Source organism: Homo sapiens, chromosome 8, assembly GCF_000001405.40.
Source record: "Homo sapiens chromosome 8, GRCh38.p14 Primary Assembly".
Taxonomy (NCBI): Eukaryota; Metazoa; Chordata; class Mammalia; order Primates; family Hominidae; genus Homo; species Homo sapiens.
Window position 1 is genome coordinate 47,492,277 of NC_000008.11, and position 21,058 is coordinate 47,513,334.

The window sequence follows — 21,058 nt, forward strand, 5'->3', positions numbered from 1 at the left end:
CCTACACATAATTTTATTCTTCCCAAGGTATAAGACCAGTATCTGGCAAGCAGGCAGGCTTCTCACAAAGGCCATTTCCTCTACGGAGGGGTTGGTTTTGAAAATCAGCCAGGTCTCTCATCCCCAAGAAACAGATAAACCATGGTGCATTTTAGCCCTAATGAATTCACTTCTTGCACCCTGCTGATTGTAAATCAGTGATTAGCATGGAATACCAAATTATTAGTGACAAATGAGTGCCTTGTCATAGACTTCCTCCAGAATGACTCTTTGGTTCCTTTTCTTTTCCATTTTCACTGCTGCCCTTTTACCTCTTCTCTGAATCATTGCAATGGCCTTTAGCTGGTTACCTGCCTACTTCTGGGCCCTTCTTTTCTCAAGCCATTTTTGGTCCTCCTTTGTGTGTTGTCACAGCTATTATGTAAATTTAGGAAGCATACGTCTGGCCGTATTGCTCGTCTGTTCAGAAATCTTAGATGGTTCCTTGAGATGTATGTTAGAGCCCGCTTCTCAGTATACAAGTTTTCCTTCATGCAGCTTCTCCAAGTGCATTTTCTGTTGTTCTGCCATTCATTCTTTGGCCCAATTAATGAACTAACTCAATATTCCTGGTATTTCCACCCTCATTGTGCCTGGAGTATCTTGACTGTTCATTTAAGACATCTCAAATTCTACTTCCCAATGAAGTCTCTACTGATACCTTCCAGCTGGATGGGCTTTCTCTAGTGTTTGAGCCATTGGAGAGAGAGAGAGAGAGAGAGAGTGAGTGTGTGTGTGTGTGTGTGTGTGTGTGTGTGTGTGTTTAAATAGAACTTCGCAGATAGCACCTGTCATATTCTGCTAATGCAAGGGTTATACATAGGTTTGTTCTATCTTTCTGCTTTGGAGACTGCTAGCTCCTTAAGAGCAGAAACAATGAATATGGTATGGTGCCATACACAGGACAGATTTCCAGTAATAGAATTTGTTATAATTTGGAATGACATTGTGGAAAAACTCATATATTCCATATAGGTTTGATGTTATTATCGTTAAACCTGCTACCAATAAGAAACCCAGAGTTAATGCCACAAATACCATTATTATTTTAATATATTAAACAGGTTTTAAAATTTATTTTCCAGAAAACATTTAAGAAAGGAAATTAATGCTGTGGGACTCCAAAAATAGGATGTCTTTCAAGTATTGTGCTTTGTTTTTTAACACTTCAGGATCAAATATGAAAATGTTAAATGTAGATTTTTAAATTTTTAAAGCCTACTTATTTTTCAGTAACACCCTGAAAGAAGAATTGCAAACCCTGATGGCTGCTGTTGTCCTGGTGATCAGAGCAGAGGTCTGGAGCCTGGGAGAGGCCCAGCAGCCTGGAGTGGTAGCAGCAGGGCTTAGATGATGAGAAAATCTTACTGTTTTTTCTCGTTCTGTCATAGGACTTGAAAATGTTCCATCTAGTGACAATTCTTTAAGAATACTTTTGCATCCAGGAGTTGATAGATTTTGAAGGTTTTGGGTTTTTTATATTATTATTATAGTAAGACTCTGGTCCCTTAGGAGCTGGATATTTACTATCTAGAATGAATAAACGCTTCCCCCATCCCAAGTTAACACAAAGCTTTATTTTTTATTAAATAGAGCATCCCTTTAAAACAATTTTATGTTCCCTTCAAAAAGCATAAGGGGGAGAGCAAATTATGGAAGGTTTCATTGCCTCCTTCCCTCCCTCCTTCCTTCTTTTCTCCTTCCCCTCACCTCCCCAGGCTGGAATGCAGTGGCACAGTTATACCTCACTGCAGCCTCCAACTCCTGGGCTTAAGCGATCCTCCTGCCTCAGCCTCTTTTGTAGCTGGGACTCCACCCATGTGCCACCATGCCTGGCTAGTTTTTAAATTTTTCATGGAAATGGGGGTGTCTATGTTGCCCAGGCTGGTCTTGAACTCCTGGGCTCAAGTAATCCTCCTGCCTCAGCCTCCTAATTAGCTGGGACTACAAGTGTAAGCCACCATGCCTGGCCTAGAATTTTTTTTTTTTTTAAAGACAGGGTCTCACTCTGTTGCCCAGGCTGGAGTACAGTGGCACCATCACAGCTCACTGCAGCCTTGACCTCCCCAGGCTCAGACAATCCTCCCACCTCATTTTTGAGAAATAACATTTTTCAAATACAGTGTCAATGAAAATAGAAATAAATATTAGTGTAAATAAATATTTTAAAAATTACACTGAATGAACGGTTTGTTTATACTTTCAGATTTCATATTGATTGAATTTACAGGATTTATAAATCACAATGTAGTCTCTGATTTGATCAGAAACAATACGGCTTAGGATACTAGATTTTACAAGGCTTTTGTGAGGATCAAATGAGATTATATATCTGAAAGTCTTTCACAAACTGTGAAGTACAAGTGTTTCTAGTAAGTGGCATGCCACTTTGTATTGCTTTTACTATGGCTATTAGGATGTGAGATTGAGACCTTCCTCCTCCCCTCTTGAAAGCAAGGGAGACTTCCCATCTCTAAGGATTTCTTTCACTCTCACTCAGCTTGCCCTGCTAGTTCTTAGGAGTGAAGTGAGATACTTCTTATTTTTCAATCCATCTATGAAAAATTTATGCATCTTTTAGTAGGGTGTTCATTTGCATGATTTATTTATGTTTTCACCCCAGTGAAGGGGAAGTGGTATAGGGCTACAGGTGACTTTTGTAATGTTCTCCATTCATAAGACAGGGCCACCCCAGTGAGTCTTTTGAGTTGTAACCAACTCTATTTCAGTGACAGTATTTTTGTAAAGTTACTGTTTGGAAACTTATCTTGTTATCTTGTATGTGTATTGCATAGACCAAGAATCTGATTGAAATAACATGGCAACAATATTGCCACCAAGAACATGCATTTTAACCACAGCACCCTTCTATTGCATAGTGCACATGTCCAGGAATTGAGCTGGCTTTTACTAAATGAATATTTTGTTCACTTGTATCCAGATCACTTGGGACTGTGGGCACATTGGGAATTTCACCTCAGTCTTTGTCTCCTTGTCCTCTGAGATGGTACAAGTATCATCTAAAAGGATGTATAAAACAGGTATATGAGAGCTGCTTTACCCCCTCCCACCCAAAAAAAAAAAAAGATATAATTAACATAGTATACAATTCTTCATTTTAAAATGTATAGTTAAGTGGTTTTTTATATACTCACAGAGTTGTACAACCATGAGAATGTTTTCATTACCCCGAATAGAAACCCTGTACCCATTAGCTACTACTTTTCATTCCAGCTTATCTATTTTTTTATTTTTGTCACGTGTCCTTTTGGTATCATATCTAAGGAGCCATTGCCTGGTCCGAGGTTTCAAATATTTGCTCCAATTTTTTCTTTCAAGACTTTCATAGTTTTAGCTCTTCCTTTTAGATCTGTAATCTATTTTGAGTTAATTTTTGTGTATGATGTAAAAAGGGGTTCAAAATCATTCTTTTGCCTGAGAATATCCAGTTCTAGCACCATTTTTGAAAATATAACTTTCTTCTTCTTCAATTTTCTTGGCACTCTTGTTGAAAATCAATTCACTGTAAGTTCAAGGATCAATTCTTTCCCATTGATTTATATTTCTGTCCTTATGCCACTATTGACTTTAGGTCTATGTACCATCCCGTCAAGTGTTTTTTGATACTATTGTAAATGAAATTTTTGTTTTTAATTTCATTTTCATATTGTCTGATCATATAGAAATACAATTTAAATTTAAGATAAATACAATTAATTTTTGTATATTGATCTTGTATCATATAAACTTGTTAAACTCATTTATTACTCATAACAGTTTTTTTAAGATTCTTTATTATATACAAGATTACGTCATCTGCTAATAGGGAGTTTTACTTCTTGCTTTTCAATCAGGATGCCTTTATTTATTCCCCCCTTGCCTCATTTCCCTGACTGGAACCTCTAGTACAATGTCGAATAGAAGTGTCAGAGCAGACATCTTTGTCCTTTTGTGGATCTTAGGGGGAAAGTGTTCAGGGAAAGCATTCACCATTAAGTCTGATGTTAGTTGTAGGGCTTTTGTGGATGCTGTTTGTCAGTTTGAGGAAGTTGTCTTGTATTTCTGAAGTTCTTGAGTGTTTTCATCATGAACATGTATTAAATTTAGTAAAATGCTTTTTCTGTGTCTATTTAGATGATTATGTCACTTTTTTTCTTTAGTGAGATGATTCTGTTACATTAATTGAGTTTCAAGTGGTAAAGCAACCTATGATTCGTGGTATAAATCTCATTTAGTTGTGGTATATAATCCGTTTTATGTGTTGCTGGATTTGGTTTGCTCACATTTTGTGAGAGTTTTTGCATATATACTCATAAGAGATATGGGTCTGGAATTTTCTTGTGATGTCTTTTATTTTGGTGTGAGAGTAATACTATTGACCTCATAGAATGAATTCCCTACTCTTTTTTTTTTTTTTTTTTGAGTTTGTAAAAGATTGTTATGAATTTCTCTTTAAACATTTGGTAGAATTCACCACTGAAACTATCTGGGCCTATGTTTGTTTGTTTGTTTGTTTGTTTGTTTGTTTGTCAGAAGTTTTAAGTTACTGACTTAATTTCTTTATTTGTAATAGATTTATTCAGATTTTTAATTTCTACCTGTCAGTTTTGGGAGTTTGTGCCTTTCTAGAAGTTTGTCCATTTTACTTCCATTTTCTCATTTGTTGGCTTACGGTTGCTCAGTTTATTTCCTTTTAGTGTGCTATAGAATCCCTTTGCTTTCTGTAAGCTTGGTAGTGCTTCCTCTCTTTCGATTCTGATTTTCACAATTTGAGCCTTCTCTCATTTTTTCTTGGTCACCCTAGCTAATAGTTTGTTGATTTTGTTGGTCTTTTCAAACAACCATCTTTTGGTTTCATTGGTTTCCTTTATTGTTTTCTATTCTCTATTTCATGTATTTCTGCTTAATCTTTGTTATTTTCTTCCTGTGCGTGCTTTGGGTTTTGTTTTTTCTTATTTTTCTGGTTTCTTAAGATGAAAGTTTTTGTTGATTTGAGGTCTGTCTTTTTTAATACAGTCATTCACAAATATAAATACTCTTCTAAGCACTGCTTTAGCTTGATGTCATAAGTTGTGCTTTGTTGTATTTTCCTTTTCATTAATCTCAAAGTATTTTCTAATGTCCCTGTGATTGCTTCATTGGCCTATTGGTTATTTAGGGGTGTGTCATTTAAGTTCCACATCTTTGTGAATTTTCCAAATTTCTTAGTGCTGTTGATTTCAAATTTCATTTCGCCGTGGTCAAATAAGATACCTTGCATGACTTCCATCATTTTGAATTTACTGAGCATATGGTCTGTTTGGGAGAATGTCTATGTGCACTTAAAAGGAATAAGCTTTTTACAACTTTTCATTTAGCATAACCATAGCTTTTAATTTTGCTTGATTTTTTTTGGTAAGGCTTGATGGAATTATTAGTTCTACAAGGGTAAAGGGTTTAGTTTAAATTGACATTGCATGTAAATATAGTGTTTTAGAGGGCTTGGAGTATCTGTCTACAGTCCATCTGGTCTTTCGACAGCTGTTGTCAGGCATCACTCTAAAGACAGGCTAGCAAGGAAACTACCTAAGGCAGAGTCTTCATGTGGAGAGCCTGTTCATTATGTTAGTTTAACAAAGGGAATTGTGGCAGTTACATACAGTGCTTCGTTGCTGAAAGAAGGCATGCATTTGCACAGCAGAGTTATTTAGAGGTACCCAAAGAGGAGCGGGTAAGCAAGGTGAGCACTGCTTTCTTTTCTGAATTGACTATAACATCAATACAAACATAATGTCAAGAATTAACTGTAACTTTCAATGTTGAAACAAAGAAAAAGACCGATGTGTGTTTTCTTATAAGACTGGAGGACAGATGATGCCTCTCTCTCTCTGTCTCTCTTTCTCTCCCTTGTTTTGGCAGTGATAGGCCAAAGGGAAGCACATTGTTGGCCAGTTGATCTAAAAGTTCCTTTGCATCATTCTGGTAATGAGCAACAAAGGCACTTATTGGCAAACGTTCCATCTTGAATAACTGAGGTCAGCAGTTTCTTTATCAAAGCAACCCAGGTTAAATATGCTCTTTTATGATCTAACACACTGTAATAATCAAATCACCATTTTTAAAAGCAACCCAGAACATTATTGAAAAATAGCTTTTTTGTTTTAAAATAAAGCAGTAATACAAAACAATGCTTAAGTTATGAGTTACAATGAATGCTTTCAGTGTTTATGACCTTCCCAGATAGTCTCTAGGAAGATTGTCTGTATTCTGACTATAAAAATAGGACCAGGATGAAGTTTTTTTGACTGTTACTGCTGGTATATCCTAGATACTCTGTGCTATTTTCTGGGCTTTTCCTTTGCTGCCTAAGGGAGAGAATATCACATCTATCAGGTCAAGACTTGTACATTTGCCACACCAACTTAGACCTAACATGTTTGCATTTATGTTCAACCAGTCCATAGTGTATGATATACTCCATTGTCTTTGCTATAAAAGAAAGGCATAATGTTAAGAATATCTTTTATATCTATATTGAGTAATTGCCGTGCCCTTACTTAGCTGGTTCATTTTGATCCCAAATTCAGTGTTTCTTCATTTAGCTTTTTGATGACGTACTGAATAAACAGTGTCGCAATATGTACCTATTTTGCTCATTTAAGAAAATATTTGTAATCACTACCACGAGGGTTTTTCATTACCATCTAGAAGCAAAGACCTCTGTTTTCCTTCAGTTAACTTTCAGTATCAGAAATTCTAACTGTTTAGCAAAAGAAACCATAAAAACCATTTATGTGGATCAGTGAGCCTTTACTGCTGTCTGCCCAGGAGGAACTCAATAAATGCCTCTTGACTGATGGAAAATTGCTTTGGTAATACTAAGCAGAGAAAATATGAAGAGTACGTAACACATTGCTTGATGCATGGTTCTTGGCTGTACTGCACTGACATGTAACTAATGACAGAAGTTCATGCAAAGTCTATGACTGTCAGACTTTTAGAATATAGACTGGTATCATCCAAATGACGGATGTATGTTTGCACCAGTGTTGGCTCAGACAGTTTCTTAGAGCTTTGGGGTTTCCTCTAAAATATAGTTCCACCCCAGGCTCTCTCCTGTCAAGCAGACTTGAATCCCTGGAATGGCTCTAGAACCACTTTGGCTTCATTAAAACATTTGAACTACTTGTGGACAATTGAGCACCATGACTTTCAGAAGTAGAGACCATCAAATGATACGGCAGCATTTCTTTTTTTTTTTTTTTACCCTTGATTTTTGTTGTTTTATTTTGTTTACTAGACTCATTTAGCCATCTGTGGAAAATTTTTCCAGGAACACAGCCATAATTTTTTTTATTATACTTTTAAGTTTTAGGGTACATGTGCACAACGTGCAGGTTAGTTACATATGTATACATGTGCCATGTCGGTATGCTACACCCAGTAACTCGTCATTTAACATTAGGTATATCTCCTAATGCTATCCCTCCACCCTGCCCCCACCCCACCCACAACAGGCCCTGGTGTGTGATGTTCCCCTTCCTGTGTCCATGTGTTCTCATTGTTCAGTTCTCACCTATGAGTGAGAACATGCAGTGTTTGGTTTTTTGTCCTTGCGATAGTTTGCTGAGATTGATGGTTTCCAGCTTCATCCATATCCCTACAAAGGACATGAACTCATCCTTTTTTATGGCTGCATAGTATTCCATGGTGTATATGTGCCACATTTTCTTAATCCAGTCTATCATTGATGGACGTTTGGGTTGGTTCCAAGTCTTTGCTATTGTGAATAGTGCCACAATAAACATACATATGCATGTGTCTTTATAGCAGCATGATTTATAATCCTTTGGGTATATACCGAGTAATGGGCTGGCTGGGTCAAATGGTATTTCTAGTTCTAGATCCCTGAGGAATCGCCACACTGACTTCCACAATGGTTGAACTAGTTTACAGTCCCACCAACAGTGTAAAAGTGTTCCTATTTCTCTACATCCTCTCCAGCACCTGTTGTTTCCTGACTTTTTAATTATCACCATTCTAACTGGTGTAAGATGGTATCTCATTGTGGTTTTGATTTGTATTTCTCTGATGGCCAGTGATGATGAGCATTTTTTCATGTGTCTTTTGGCTGCATAAATGTCTTCTTTTGAGAAGTGTCTGTTCATATCCTTCACCCACTTGTTGATAGGGTTGTTTGTTTTTTTCTTGTAAATTTGTTTGAGTTCATTGTAGATTCTGGATATTAGCCCTTTGTCAGATGGGTAGATTGCAAAAATGTTCTCTCATTCTTAGGTTGCCTGTTCACTCTGATGGTAGTTTCTTTTGCCGTGCAGAAGCTCTTTAGTTTAATTGAATCCCATTTGTCAGTTTTGGCTTTTGTTGCCATTGCTTTTGGTGGTTTAGATGTGAAGTCCTTGCCCATGCCTATGTCCTGAATGGTATTGCCTAGGTTTTCTTCTAGGGTTTTTATGGTTTTAGGTCTAACATGTAAGTCTTTAATCCATCTTGAATTAATTTTTATATAAGGTGTAAGGAAGGGATCCAGTTTCAGCTTTCTACATATGGCTAGCCAGTTTTCCCAGCACCATTTATTAAATAGGGAATCCTTTCCCCATTGCTTGTTTTTGTCAGGTTTGTCAAAGATCTGATGGTTGTAGATATGCGGCATTATTTCTGAGGTCTCTGTTCTGTTCCATTGATCTATATCTCTGTTTTGGTACCAGTACCATGCTGTTTTGGTTACTGTGGCCTTGTAGTATAGTTTGAAGTCAGGTAGCGTGATGCTTCCAGCTTTGTTCTTTTGGCTTAGGATTGACTTGGGGATCCGGACTCTTTTTTGGTTCCATAGGAACTTTAAAGTAGTTTTTTCCAATTCTGTGAAGAAAGTCATTGGTAGCTTGATGGGGATGGCATTGAATCTATAAATTACCTTGGGCATCATGGCCATTTTCACAATATTGATTCTTCCTATCCATGAGCATGGAATGTTCTTCTGTTTGTTTGTATCCTCTTTTATTTCATTGAGCAGTGGTTTGTAGTTCTCCTTGAAGAGGTCCTTCACATCCCTTGTAAGTTGGATTCCTAGGTATTTTATTCTCTTTGAAGCAATTGTGAATGGGAGTTCACTCATGATTTGGCTCTCTGTTTGTCTGTTATTGGTGTATAAGAATGCTTGTGATTTTTGCACATTGATTTTGTATCCTGAGACTTTGCTGAAGTTGCCTGTCAGCTTAAGGAGATTTTGGGCTGAGATGATGGGGTTTTCTAGAAATATAATCATGTCATCTGCAAACAGGGACAATTTGACTTCCTCTTTTCCTAATTGAATACCCTTTATTTCTTTCTCCTGCCTGATTGCCCTGGCCAGAACTTCCAACACCATGTTGAATAGGAGTGGTGAGAGAGGGCATCCCTGTCTTGTGCGAGTTTTCAAAGGGAATGCTTCCAGTTTTTGCCCATTCAGTATGATATTGGCTGTGGGTTTGTCATAGATAGCTCTTATTATTTTGAGATACGTCCCATCAATACCTAATTTATTGAGAGTTTTTAGCATGAAGGGTTGTTGAATTTTGTCAAAGGCCTTTTCTGCCTCTATTCAGATAATCATATGGTTTTTGTCATTGGTTCTGTTTATATGCTGGATTATGTTTATTGATTTGTGTATGTTGAACCAGCCTTGCATCCCAGGGATGAAGCCCACTTGATCATGGTCGATAAGTTTTTTGATGTGATGCTGGATTCGGTTTGCCAGTATTTTATTGAGGATTCTGTCGATGTGCATCAAGGATATTGGTCTAAAATTGTCTTTTTTTGTTGTGTCTCTGCCAGGCTTTGGTATCAGGATGATGCTGGCCTCATAAAATGAGTTAGGGACGATTCCCTCTTTTTCTGTTGATTGGAATAGTTTCAGAAGGAATGGTACCAGCTCCTCCTTGTACCTCTGATAGAATTCGGCTGTGAATCCATCTGGTCCGGGGCTTTTTTGGTTGGTAAGCTATTAATTATTGCCTCAATTTCAGAGCCTGTTATTGGTCTATTCAGAGATTCAACTTCTTCCTGGTTTAGTCTTGGGAGGGTGTATGTGTGCAGGAATTTATCCATTTCTTCTAGATTTTCTAGTTTATTTGCGTAGAGGTGTTTATATTATTCTCTGATGGTAGTTTGTGTTTCTGTGGGATCGGTGGTGATACCTCCTTTATCATTTTTTATTGCGTCTATTTGATTCTTCTCTCTTTTCTTTATTAGTCTTGCTAGCAGTCTATGAATTTTGTTGATCTTTTCAAAACCCAGCTCCTGGATTCATTGATTTTTTGAAGGGTTTTTCGTGTCTCTATTTCCTTCGGTTCTGCTCTGATCTTAGTTATTTCTTGCCTTCTGCTAGCTTTTGAATGTGTTTGCTCTTGTTTCTCTAGTTCTTTTAATTTTGATGTTAGGGTGTCAATTTTAGATCTTTCCTGCTTTCTCTTATGGGCATTTAGTGCTATAAATTTCCCTCTACACACTGCTTTGAATATGTCCCAGAGATTCTGGTATGTTGTGTCTTTGTTCTCATTGGTTTCAAAGAACATCTTTATTTCAGCCTTCATTTCGTTATGTACTCAGTAGTCATTCAGGAGCACGTTGTGCAGTTTCCATGTAGTTGAGCAGTTTTGAGTGAGTTTCTTAATCCTGAGTTCTAGTTTGATTGCACTGTGGTCTGAGAGAGAGTTTGTTATAATTTCTCTTCTTTTACATTTGCTGAGGAGTGCTTTACTTCCAACTATGTGGTCAGTTTTGGAATAGGTGTGTTGTGGTGCTGAAAAGAATGTATATTCTGTTGATTTTGGGTGGAGAGTTCTGTAGATGCCTATTAGTTCCGCTTGGTGCAGAACTGAGTTCAATTCCTGAATATCCTTGTTAACTTTCTGTCTCGTTGATATATCTAATGTTGACAGTGGGGTGTTAAAGTCTCGCATTGTTACTGTGTGGGAGTCTAAGTCTCTCTGTAGGTCTCTAAGGACTTGCTTTATGAGTCTGGGTGCTCCTGTATTGGGTGCATATATATTTAGGATAGTTAGCTCTTCTTGTTGAATGATCCCTTTACCATTATGTAATGGCCTTCTTTGTCTCTTTTGATCTTTGTTGGTTTAAAGTCTGTTTTATCAGACACTAGGATTGCAACCCCTGCCGTTTTTTGTTTTCCATTTGCTTGGTAGATCTTCCTCCATCCGTTTATTTTGAGCCTATGTGTGTCTCTGCACGTGAGATGGGTTTCCTCAATACAGCACACTGATGGGTCTCGACTCTATCCAATTTGCCAGTCTGTGTCTTTTAATTGGCGCATTTAGCCCATTCACATTTAAGGTTAATATTGTTATGTGTGAATTTGATCCTGTCTTTATGATGTTAGGTGGTTATTTTGCTCATTAGTTAATGCATTTTCTTCCTACCATCTATAGTCTTTACAATTTGGCATGTTTTTGCAGTGGCTGGTACCGGTTGTTCCTTTCCATGTTTAGTGCTTCCTTCAGGAGCTCTTTTAGGGCAGGCCTGGTGGTGACAAAATCTCTCAGCATTTGTTTGTCTGTAAAGGATTTTATTTCTCCTTCACTCATGAAGCTTAGTTTGGCTGGATATGAAATTCTGGGTTGAAAATTCTTTTCTTTAAGAATGTTGAATATTGGCCCCCACTCTCTTCTGGCTTGTAGAGTTTCTGCCGAGAGACCAGCTGTTAGTCTGATGGGCTTCCCTTTGTGGGTAACCTCACCTTTCTCTCTGGGTGCTGTTAACGTTTTTTCCTCCATTTCAACCTTGGTGAATCTGACAATTATGTGTCTTGGAGTTGCTCTTCTCGAGGAGTGTCTTTGTGGCGTTCTCTGTATTTCCTGAATTTGAATGTTGGCCTGCCTTGCTAGATTGGGGAAGTTCTCCTGGATAATATCCTGCAGAGTGTTTTCCAGCTTGGTTCCATTCTCCTCGTCACTTTGAGGTACACCAGTCAGACATAGATTTGGTCTTTTCACATAGTCCCATATTTCTTGGAGGCTTTGTTCGTTTCTTTTTTTTCTTTTTTCTCTAAACTTCTCTTCTCACTTCATTTCATTCATTTGATCTTCTATCACTGATACCCTTTCTTCTAGTTGATCGAATCGGCTACTGAGGCTTGTGCATTTGTCACATAGTTCTCGTGCCTTGGTTTTCAGCTCCATGAGGTCCTTTAAGGACTTCTCTGCATTGGTTATTCTAGTTAGCCATTCGTCTAATCTTTTTTCAAGGTTTTTAACTTCTTTGCCATGGGTGCAAACTTCCTCCTTTAGCTCGGAGTAGTTTGATCATCTGAAGCCTTCTTCTCTCAACTCGTCAAAGTCATTCTCCGTCCAGCTTTGTTCCATTGCTGGTGAGGAGCTGTGTTCCTTTGGAGGAGGAGAGGCACTCTGATTTTTAGAGTTTCCAGTTTTTCTGCTCTGTTTTTTCTCCATCTTTGTGGTTTTATCTACCTTTGTGTCTTTGATGATAGTGACGTACAGATGGGGTTTTGGAGTGGATATCCTTTCTGTTAGTTTTCCTTCTAACAGTCAGGACCCTCAGCTGCAGGTCTGTTGGAGTTTGCCGGAGGTCCACTCCAGACCCTGTTTGCCTGGATATCAGCAGCAGACGCTGCAGAGTGGCTGATATTGGTGAACAGCAAATGTTGCTGCCTGATCGTTTCTCTGGAAGTTTTGTCTCAGCGGAGTACCCGGCCGTGTGAGGTGTCAGTCTGCCCCTACTGAAGGGTGCCTCCCAGTTAGGCTACTCAGGGGTCAGAGACCCACTTGAGGAGGCAGTCTGTCCATTCTCAGATCTCCATCTGAGTGCTGGGAGAACCACTACTCCCTTCAAGGCTGTCAGACAGGGACATTTCAGTCTGCAAAGGATTCTGCTGTCTTTTGTTTGGCTATGTCCTGCCCCCAGAGGTGGAGGCTACAGAGGCAGGCAGGCAGGCCTCCTTGAGCTGCGGTGGGCTCCACCCAGTTCGAGCTTCCCCGCCACTTTGTTTACCTACCCAAGCCTCAGCAATGGCGGGCGCCTCTCCCCAAGCCTCGCTGCCGCCTTGCAGCTTGATCTCAGACTGCTGTGCTAGCAATGAGCAGGGCTCTGTGGGCATAGGACCCTCCAAGCCATGTGCGGGATATAATCTCCTGGTGTGCCATATGCTATGACCATTGGAAAAGCGCAGTATTAGGGTGGGAGTGACCCAATTTTCCAGGTGCCATCTGTCACCCCTTTCTTTGACTAGGAAAGGGAATTCCCTGACCCCTTGCGCTTCCCGGGTGAGGCAGTGCCTCGCCCTGCTTCGGCTCATGCTCGGTCCGCTGCGCCCACTTTCCGATACTCCCCAGTGCGATACCTCAGTTGGAAATGCAGAAATCCCCGGTCTTCTGCGTTGGTCACGCTGGGAGCTGTAGACTGGAGCTGTTCCTATTCGGTACAGCAGCATTTCAACTGCACTGATCTGTGGTCATCTAGTGACAACACTAGCAGTGCCACCCGGGCTTCCCTACTAAGGATATTAGTGTTCACTCTCTCCGAACCGTTACCTTTTGTGAATTTTTTTCCGTCACTTCTCAACCATAAGTATACTTAGCCTATATCTTGGGCATAATTTCAGTGTATGTAATTCCATTATTTTTGAGTATTGCCCTCCTGGCACATTGAATGTATCTTCTGACTCATCATTTTCTGAATCTTAAACTATAAAATGGAAAATTATGCCTTCTGTAGATGTTTCTATACTTTCTCAAACCATTTCTGCATGTATAGTACCTCCTTTGTTTCTTGTAATGCTACAAGAGTTGAGAGCTCAGTTGCAGATGACAGAATCCAGGCGAGGCTTTCTAAGCAGAACATGTTTGGCTGCTTCCTACCCACCTGGAAGTAACACAGGGAGGAGGGCAGCTACTAGACAGTTCAGCACAAATGCTGCTATTTCAGCTGCATGTTTGTGTGTTCTGTGTCAACATAAACCCCCCTTACATTTCCAAACAACAGCAGCAACAATTTATTTACACCATCATACAGCTCTCCCGTATAGAAATAATGAGGGTCTCACTCTACCTAGAGGGCAGTCCCAAAATCTCGTTTGTTTCTGCAGTTGGTTCCACCAGTGCAGGTTCTCAGGGTGATCGTTCTTTCTTTCTCTAATTTAGGCAGTGTTCTGTCTTAGAATTCTGGGATCCTGTAACCTATAGAATGAATTGCAAGGCTAATATCACCAATAGACCCTATCTAAAACTGGGGAAATGGAGAAAGGAAATTAGTTAACATGCATAAATATATACTTGCCACACCGAGAGAGGAAGAAGTATGCATAATTATTAGACTTCTCATTTCTACAAGTGGTTACTACCCATTTTGTGGTCTACATGCCCTAAAGTATCCAAATGTATTACTTAGTGGGTTTACGGACATATGCAGTGTTACTGGCAGACAGTGAAGACAAAACCAAACCTGAGTAGGCATATCTTCTAGTGAGGATAAAATGGTATCCTGTCATGATAGAAGGGATTGAGTGTAATTAACCGGTTATTATGTAGCAGGCGGTCCCTCCAAATCGATTGTTGTTCCTAGCAAGTTGACACTCCACTGTGTTGGGAAATAGCTGAGCTCTGTGCAGGGAGGCTGCCCATGTTGTACTTCTACCACTGTGGTCACTTTGCTAATGAGCCCACTAAACAACCTCTGGGCTACTGTGGAGAGAGTGAGACAAGCATTCATAGGGTGATTTATCATGTCCACCTGGTTTTTGAGAGCCTTCTCTCCAGTAAGCATTCAGATGGACACCGTATCTGTCTTACTCCTGGTTCAAGAAATCCACCCATATGCCTCTTCCCAGCCACCTGCTGCCAGCTCCTCAGTCTTCTTCCTCCTTTGTCTGTGCTGGTCAATGTAAGTTCTGATTCTTTGTGAGTAGAGGCTTGTACTGCAAGCTGTCTTTCAGTTGGGTCAGATAGTCCATGATATGTGCCCATAAAGCGTCTTCCCAATGGTTTAGCTCAGTAGTTGCTGCTGCCCATGAATCAGTGTGATTGATACCTCATGCCATCTCTTCTGGGCAGACTGGACCCAAGACATGCCATGGGAAGCTCTGCTCCTCTGTCAGGGCCTTCTGTGAAGGAAGCTGCAAAGCTGTAACAGCCGATTTCAGCTGCTCATATCGTGTTGCTCCATCTGGATACGAGCTCCTCAGACAGCTGGTCATGCAGACTTTCCCATGAGCCCTGGTGGGGGGCTGAGGGAAGGATGGCAGGATGCAAGAGTAGGCACATCAGTAATATAAGCTTCTTGTTGACGGAACTTAATTTTGGATGCTATTCACACCTAAATATGCTATATATATATGACTTTTACTTGAGGACACAGTATCCTGGACATGTCCTTCTCTGTAGCCCCAATACCCAGTTCATGTGGGTCCCATGGCCATGTTTTCACAGTTAACTAACATGAAATGTCAGCTGTTCATTCTCCACTAGGAGCCAGTATTAAGCCAATCTGTGTGTATCAAAAGGAAAATAGTTACTTGCTATATAGAGTATTGTGTGACCCCAAAACCTTGGGACTTCCCACTCTTCTGTTTTGACTTCGAGTATCCCAGTTCATTGGCCACATGAGCAAGGGCAGAGTTGCTTGCCTTCCATCCTAGCCCATATGGAGGGCTTTTTCTTGGCCCACTCAATACTGGATTGAGTAATTATGGGTTACTCAGTAAATAGATCAAGGTAGTACTCAAAAGGCTACCCTGGGAGCAGACTGGAGGAATGTGTTCTCTGCCCTCCTGCAAATACTTGCCTTAACAAGCTATTCTCAGGTATTGTTACTTCTCACTAACAAATCCTATCAGCATGATGCCATCATGTCTTGTGGGCTGGTAGGATGATTGACGTTCCTATAGACTGAGTTATGGCACAGAACCAGAATTGACACAGTGCTCAGGCAAGATGGTGAAAGCAAGTAGCTTTCTGTTTTCCTGCTATTGGGATAGGAAAACACGTACATGCAAACACATACCACTTTTGTCATATCAGTAGCTGCACACCAGATAAGGGAATGCATTGACTTGATATACTGAGTTTGATTAACTGGAGTTTCTCCTTGATAAAGTTTGGTATAATCCACTGTCATTCTCAAAGACCTATGTGTCTTCTGCACAGGGCTGCACACACAAAAAGAGATGTGATAGGAGTCACCACCCTGAACCTTTCAAATCTTTGACAGTGGCATTAATTTTTGCAGTTCCTCTAAAAGATGCCGTGTTGCTTTCGGTTGCTATTGTGGCAGGGAAGAGAAGTTCAGAAGCTTTTCTTGAGCCCCTCGAATTCTAACAATGCTCACTGCATAGGTCAAGACACAACTGTGGAAATTCTCCCTGTGTGTAAGTGTAGATCCCATCTGTAAACCCAGGTTCTGGCAGGTAATAATACCACAGTCTCCATTTGTATCTGACCCCCACGCAGCTTCCACCCCACCATCAGGACACAGAGGTGTTGAGTCCTCCGGGAGAATGTCCAATAAGTGCTGAGAAGTCCGGTTGTTTCTTTTTCTCCTCAAAAGTAGCTGCACATCCTTTGGGAATGGGTAGAAGAAAGACTTGTTACATGATTATGTATTATGGAAGTGTCCTTCCATTTTATATATATATATGTATATAAAATGGAAGTGTTCTTTCTTAAAGGACCAGCCACTCCTTCAGTGAGAGGCTGTTGGACGAGAGAAGAGCGGCTATTGAGGCTGTCGTGCTGGATCCCTCTAGGCCTCTGTCACCTGCCTACAGATCAGATTAGAGTGTCTGAGGCTTTCCCACTACTCTGGCCCTACAGACCCTCTCATTAACTGTCCATTCCCAAATACCCAGCTAGCTTACACACACTTTGGCCCTTCGGCTTGTTATGTTAGCCAGATCCTCTTGCCTCTGGACACTTAGCTCTGCTACCTCAGCCATTCCTGTTCTTGTAGAAATCCGGAAGCCCTTGAGGCAGCATCTGCAATGCTGGCCGGAATTCCTGTCTGTAGCCTCTTGGGAGTGTAGTTACGAGGTGGGTAAGCAGGAGACATGGTAGATCCCCCTAAGTCTATATTTCTACATCTGTATTTTATCAAGACATTCCTGGCATCTAGCTATTCTAGTTTCTATTACAGGGGGCTGTTAAACTATGCAGAAGGTAGAAGTTTTAAGGTACTTGGTTTTAGGGCCCAGGAGAGTGCCACTTATAGACTGGCATTTTGGCAACTGTGATGAACTCCCAGTTTTATACCTTGGATATCTTTCTCTAGTAACATATTACAACATCTAACAGACAAAAAAGCAAGTCGCATAACTTTTCAGCCTACTTTCACATTTATTTTCTTACTTCCTCTTTAGATAACTGTATGGTATTCGTAAAACTAGATTCTTACAGATGAGGAAAGAAATTCAGAAAAGGTAATTAACTTTTCTGGGGCAGAACTAGGTCTACAACGTATATCTCTTGACTTCTTGTCCTCTTTTGTTACAACACAAATACCATGGTGGCACGTGGATGTGTGCATGCGTATAATATGATGCACTCACACATACGTGACACACACACCACACATCACATACCACTTATGCACATACCACACACATGCACACACACACACACGACACACACTTAACACACATCTGTACACCACACACACTCCCTATCCAGAAACTACAATTTGTGTCATGTCAAATGTTGATGCTCCTAAAAACAGCATGTATTATTAAGAAACTCAAATACAGCAATTTTTTTTGTTTGGATGAAGGTAAAATCTGCATTTCGATTTCAGCTATAATCATTACTTGCAATGTGGGGGTTTTTTTTCCTAAAAATTCTCACCTCAGAAGTTGCCCAAAACCCAACTCATGAAGGAATCTTCAGTCTCATTATTAATCAAAAAAAGTTAAATTAAAATATCTTGGCAAAATGTCTGTGTCAACTCTATGTGTAATTATGTGTGCACACACAAATGCTGACAGAGTTACAGTGCGGAGGCTGAAATGTGTAATTGTCTTACTGAGTACAGTTCTTTTGGAAATTAGCATAGCAATATGTAGCAAATGTCAAAAGAAATTGCATACTTAATCTAGATGTCCATGCCTGCAAGTTTATTCCAAGGAAATTGTTTAGCATAAAAAAATTATGTGCATAAAGCATTTTTTTTTGCAATAGAACTCTTCTCTCCCTCCCAAAAATTATTTTACAGTTTTAGAGTTTCATAAAGTATGAAAGATCATAATATATTAAATAGAATGGGGAAATATTCAGTAGAGTATTTGCAAAAAAAAAACAAAATGTTGTGTATAATGTAGTTGCACAAACAGTTAACAAATATACTTGTTGAATTGTTGATAGAGTCTAGGAAGTTACAAGTGAAAAATTGTATAAGAATTATGTGTATGTTTGGAATTTTTTGCAATAATTACAATCTTCAGTTTCTATGTCTATATAATATTTCTTTTTAGTGAAAATACATCCACTACTTGTTTTTGGTTATTTTTATTTTTTTCATTAAAGTCCATTGATCATCACAAAAACCCAGGAAATACAACTAAGGAGAAAACAAATGTTCAACCAACACCTAAGAACCTAGAGCTGTGGAGGAGATGTCACACTGGACTACTGGTGTGTACAAGGGGGCAGGAGGGATGATCCCCATGGGGCATGGCCACTGGCTGTGAGAAACACAGGAGAGAGGCCAGGCAGCTGCCTGGGCAGTTAGGTTCACCACTGCATGATGGCAGCATTGAGCAGGTTGGCTTCCTTCAGGGTCCAGCTCTCGTCAGCCAGCTCTTTGTTTGGGAAAGTAGTCATGAGGATAAAGCTGGTGGCAGCCATGGCTGGCCGGGCATCCACAATGAAGAGTTGGATGTTGCTGATCCTGTGGCTGTGGTTAAATTTCTGCACCAGCCTCCCACCGTCTGCAAGCCGAATTTGGATGTTTGTGGTAGTCTCTGATTCGACGATTAAGATGGAAGAGCTGGCTTTGGCTTCATTTTCTGCCAGTTGGACTGGAGAGATGGTACTCAACACCTAGGGGGCAGTGCTGCTCGGTGTCTGACCCTCGCCAGTGAAGGCTTTGAAGGCTTATTTGGACTTCATAAAGTCCTCGTCCTGATGTTCCTCCATATCCAAGTTCGCCTGTCCACTGTGAGCTAGCCTCCACAGCTCTGCTGGCACCTCCCTTCTGTGGATAGACTCCAGAAACTGGGCATCGGATGGGTCTCAGTAGCTTCTGAGTCCTCCATTATCCAGGCTGAATCCACTCTTGCAGAGTTTCAGTACTACATGAACATCTTGGTTGGAATGATGTCTCTTTTCTCCTGCCACATAAGCAGACTCTTCCTCTGGTGCTGCCCCAAGGCCATAGCCATCTCCGGCAAATGGTCTTGGTGTACTGGTCTCTCCAGGTCTGTTGGTCACTCGCTCCACAGCTACAGCTCCATGCTCTTTGGCACCTTTAAAGAGATCATCCACCAGCTCATTGGAACTTTTCTTTCTGGGAGGGCCAACAATCTGCTGTCCACTTCTCTCTGAGGCCCCGGCATAAAACCTCTGGCCTTCCTCCTCTTCCTCATCCTCATCTTGGTCATGAGTGAGATCTCTAAAGGATGTCACTCTATTATCACTAGGGGCTGTGCCTCTGGACACTGAACTGGGGGTTGCCTGTGAAATGGTTATGATGTCTTCTTCCCCTCTGTCCTCATAAAAGCTCGCTAGCGCAATCTGCAAGTCCCAGGTAGCCGACTCGAGGAAGAAGCAGGCCCGGTCCTGCTCAGTGCCCATCACCACCACGAACTCTCTCAGCGTCTTCTGTTGCTCCGCTGCCGTCTTCATCCCATGCGCCTCCCCACATCCACTACTTTCTTATCATTTCTAAAGCATCCTTGAGTGGGACTTTTGTCTTTCTCCTGAGAGGGAGCTTAGCGACTGGGTTGTTGAGGATGGTTTAATAGAGGGGGATGTGCTAGCTGAAACCCAAACTCTTGTGTTGTTCGTCTCACCCTGTCTACACACTGTTGCCTATGGTGATTGGTCCACTGAGGATTGTTGTTAATCAGTTTTTACTTGTTTTTCTCCTCCCCCAAGTCCAAAAGTGTTTTGAAGATAAACAGTAAATATGGCTTATAAAGCCAGCTCTGTTCCCCCTCTCTCTGTTTTGGGAGGAAGACATTGTGCATTTTTAGAGCATAACATGAAGGAGGTTTTAGTATAATATGATTTAGTGCAGGCCTCAGCTGCTATCTCTCCCAGTGGTTTTGCTGGAGGCTGGAGCTTCCCGACAGCCCTGACCACGGAGAGGTGGAATGTGGCGCTGACGTCACGGCTGCTCCTGGGAATGTTTTGCATTCCTCTTCCTGGCAGTGGTCAGGTGGCTTCCAGCAAGAATGAAGGACAGCAGCTTCCAAAGAAGAAAAAAAGAGAGGAGGAAAAGGACAGTTTATAATCAAAGTATTGCGGGGGAGGCACTTTTATTCTGAGCCAAAATTGAAATTAGAAACAGATGTCTTGCATTCCGATGCGGCACGAATGTTAAATAAATTTATTAATGACTGTAATAACTAAGCTATTTGGCTTTTTACTGAACTTAAGTCTTGAAACTCTGTAAGAATTATGGAAAAACGACTTCTTGTAGTTGACATTTTAACTATGAAAGCAGCTTTCTGACTGTAAAAGCAAGGACCCTGATGAAATAACCCTCTAGTTAATCTACAGGCTGTTTTAAGGTCTGTTAATATTCTGAAAGGTCACTTCTGAAACATAAAATCTCTGTAATCTATTAACATAATTTGTGCTGTTCAAACAAATTTAAGCCAATCATTGAGAGAGGTAAACTCTATTTTAGCATCTGCTGCAGAATGTCTTTTCTCAAAATATTTACACTTCCAATGTTATTTCTGTACATTACTGCTCAAACCAGATATTCAAAACAAAACAGATTCTTAACAAACAGGTTTTGCCCAAGTCTTACAACTCTGCAATAATATGTGTAATAGAAAAATAGACAGTAATTGAAAAGT

At 40.4% G+C, this 21,058-nt stretch overlaps 1 protein-coding gene and 1 pseudogene across 56 annotated transcripts in view, besides 1 other annotated feature; one reads left to right on the forward strand and one right to left on the reverse strand.

Annotated features, from left to right (window-relative positions):
- The window catches only part of SPIDR (scaffold protein involved in DNA repair), a 475,429-nt gene that overhangs the window by 231,399 nt on the left and 222,972 nt on the right, over window positions 1–21,058 (forward strand). The gene's annotated exons all lie outside the window — the stretch shown is intronic.
- LOC100420054 (NSFL1 cofactor pseudogene) lies at window positions 18,500–19,888 on the reverse strand (annotated as a pseudogene).
- Window positions 19,653–20,554: an enhancer, noted in NCBI's record as "H3K27ac-H3K4me1 hESC enhancer chr8:48424491-48425392 (GRCh37/hg19 assembly coordinates)". NCBI's record gives its function as "activates a minimal SCP1, AML or CMV promoter by ChIP-STARR-seq in primed H9 embryonic stem cells {active_cell/tissue: H9 hESC(primed)}" and the evidence as "EXISTENCE:reporter gene assay evidence [ECO:0000049][PMID:30033119]".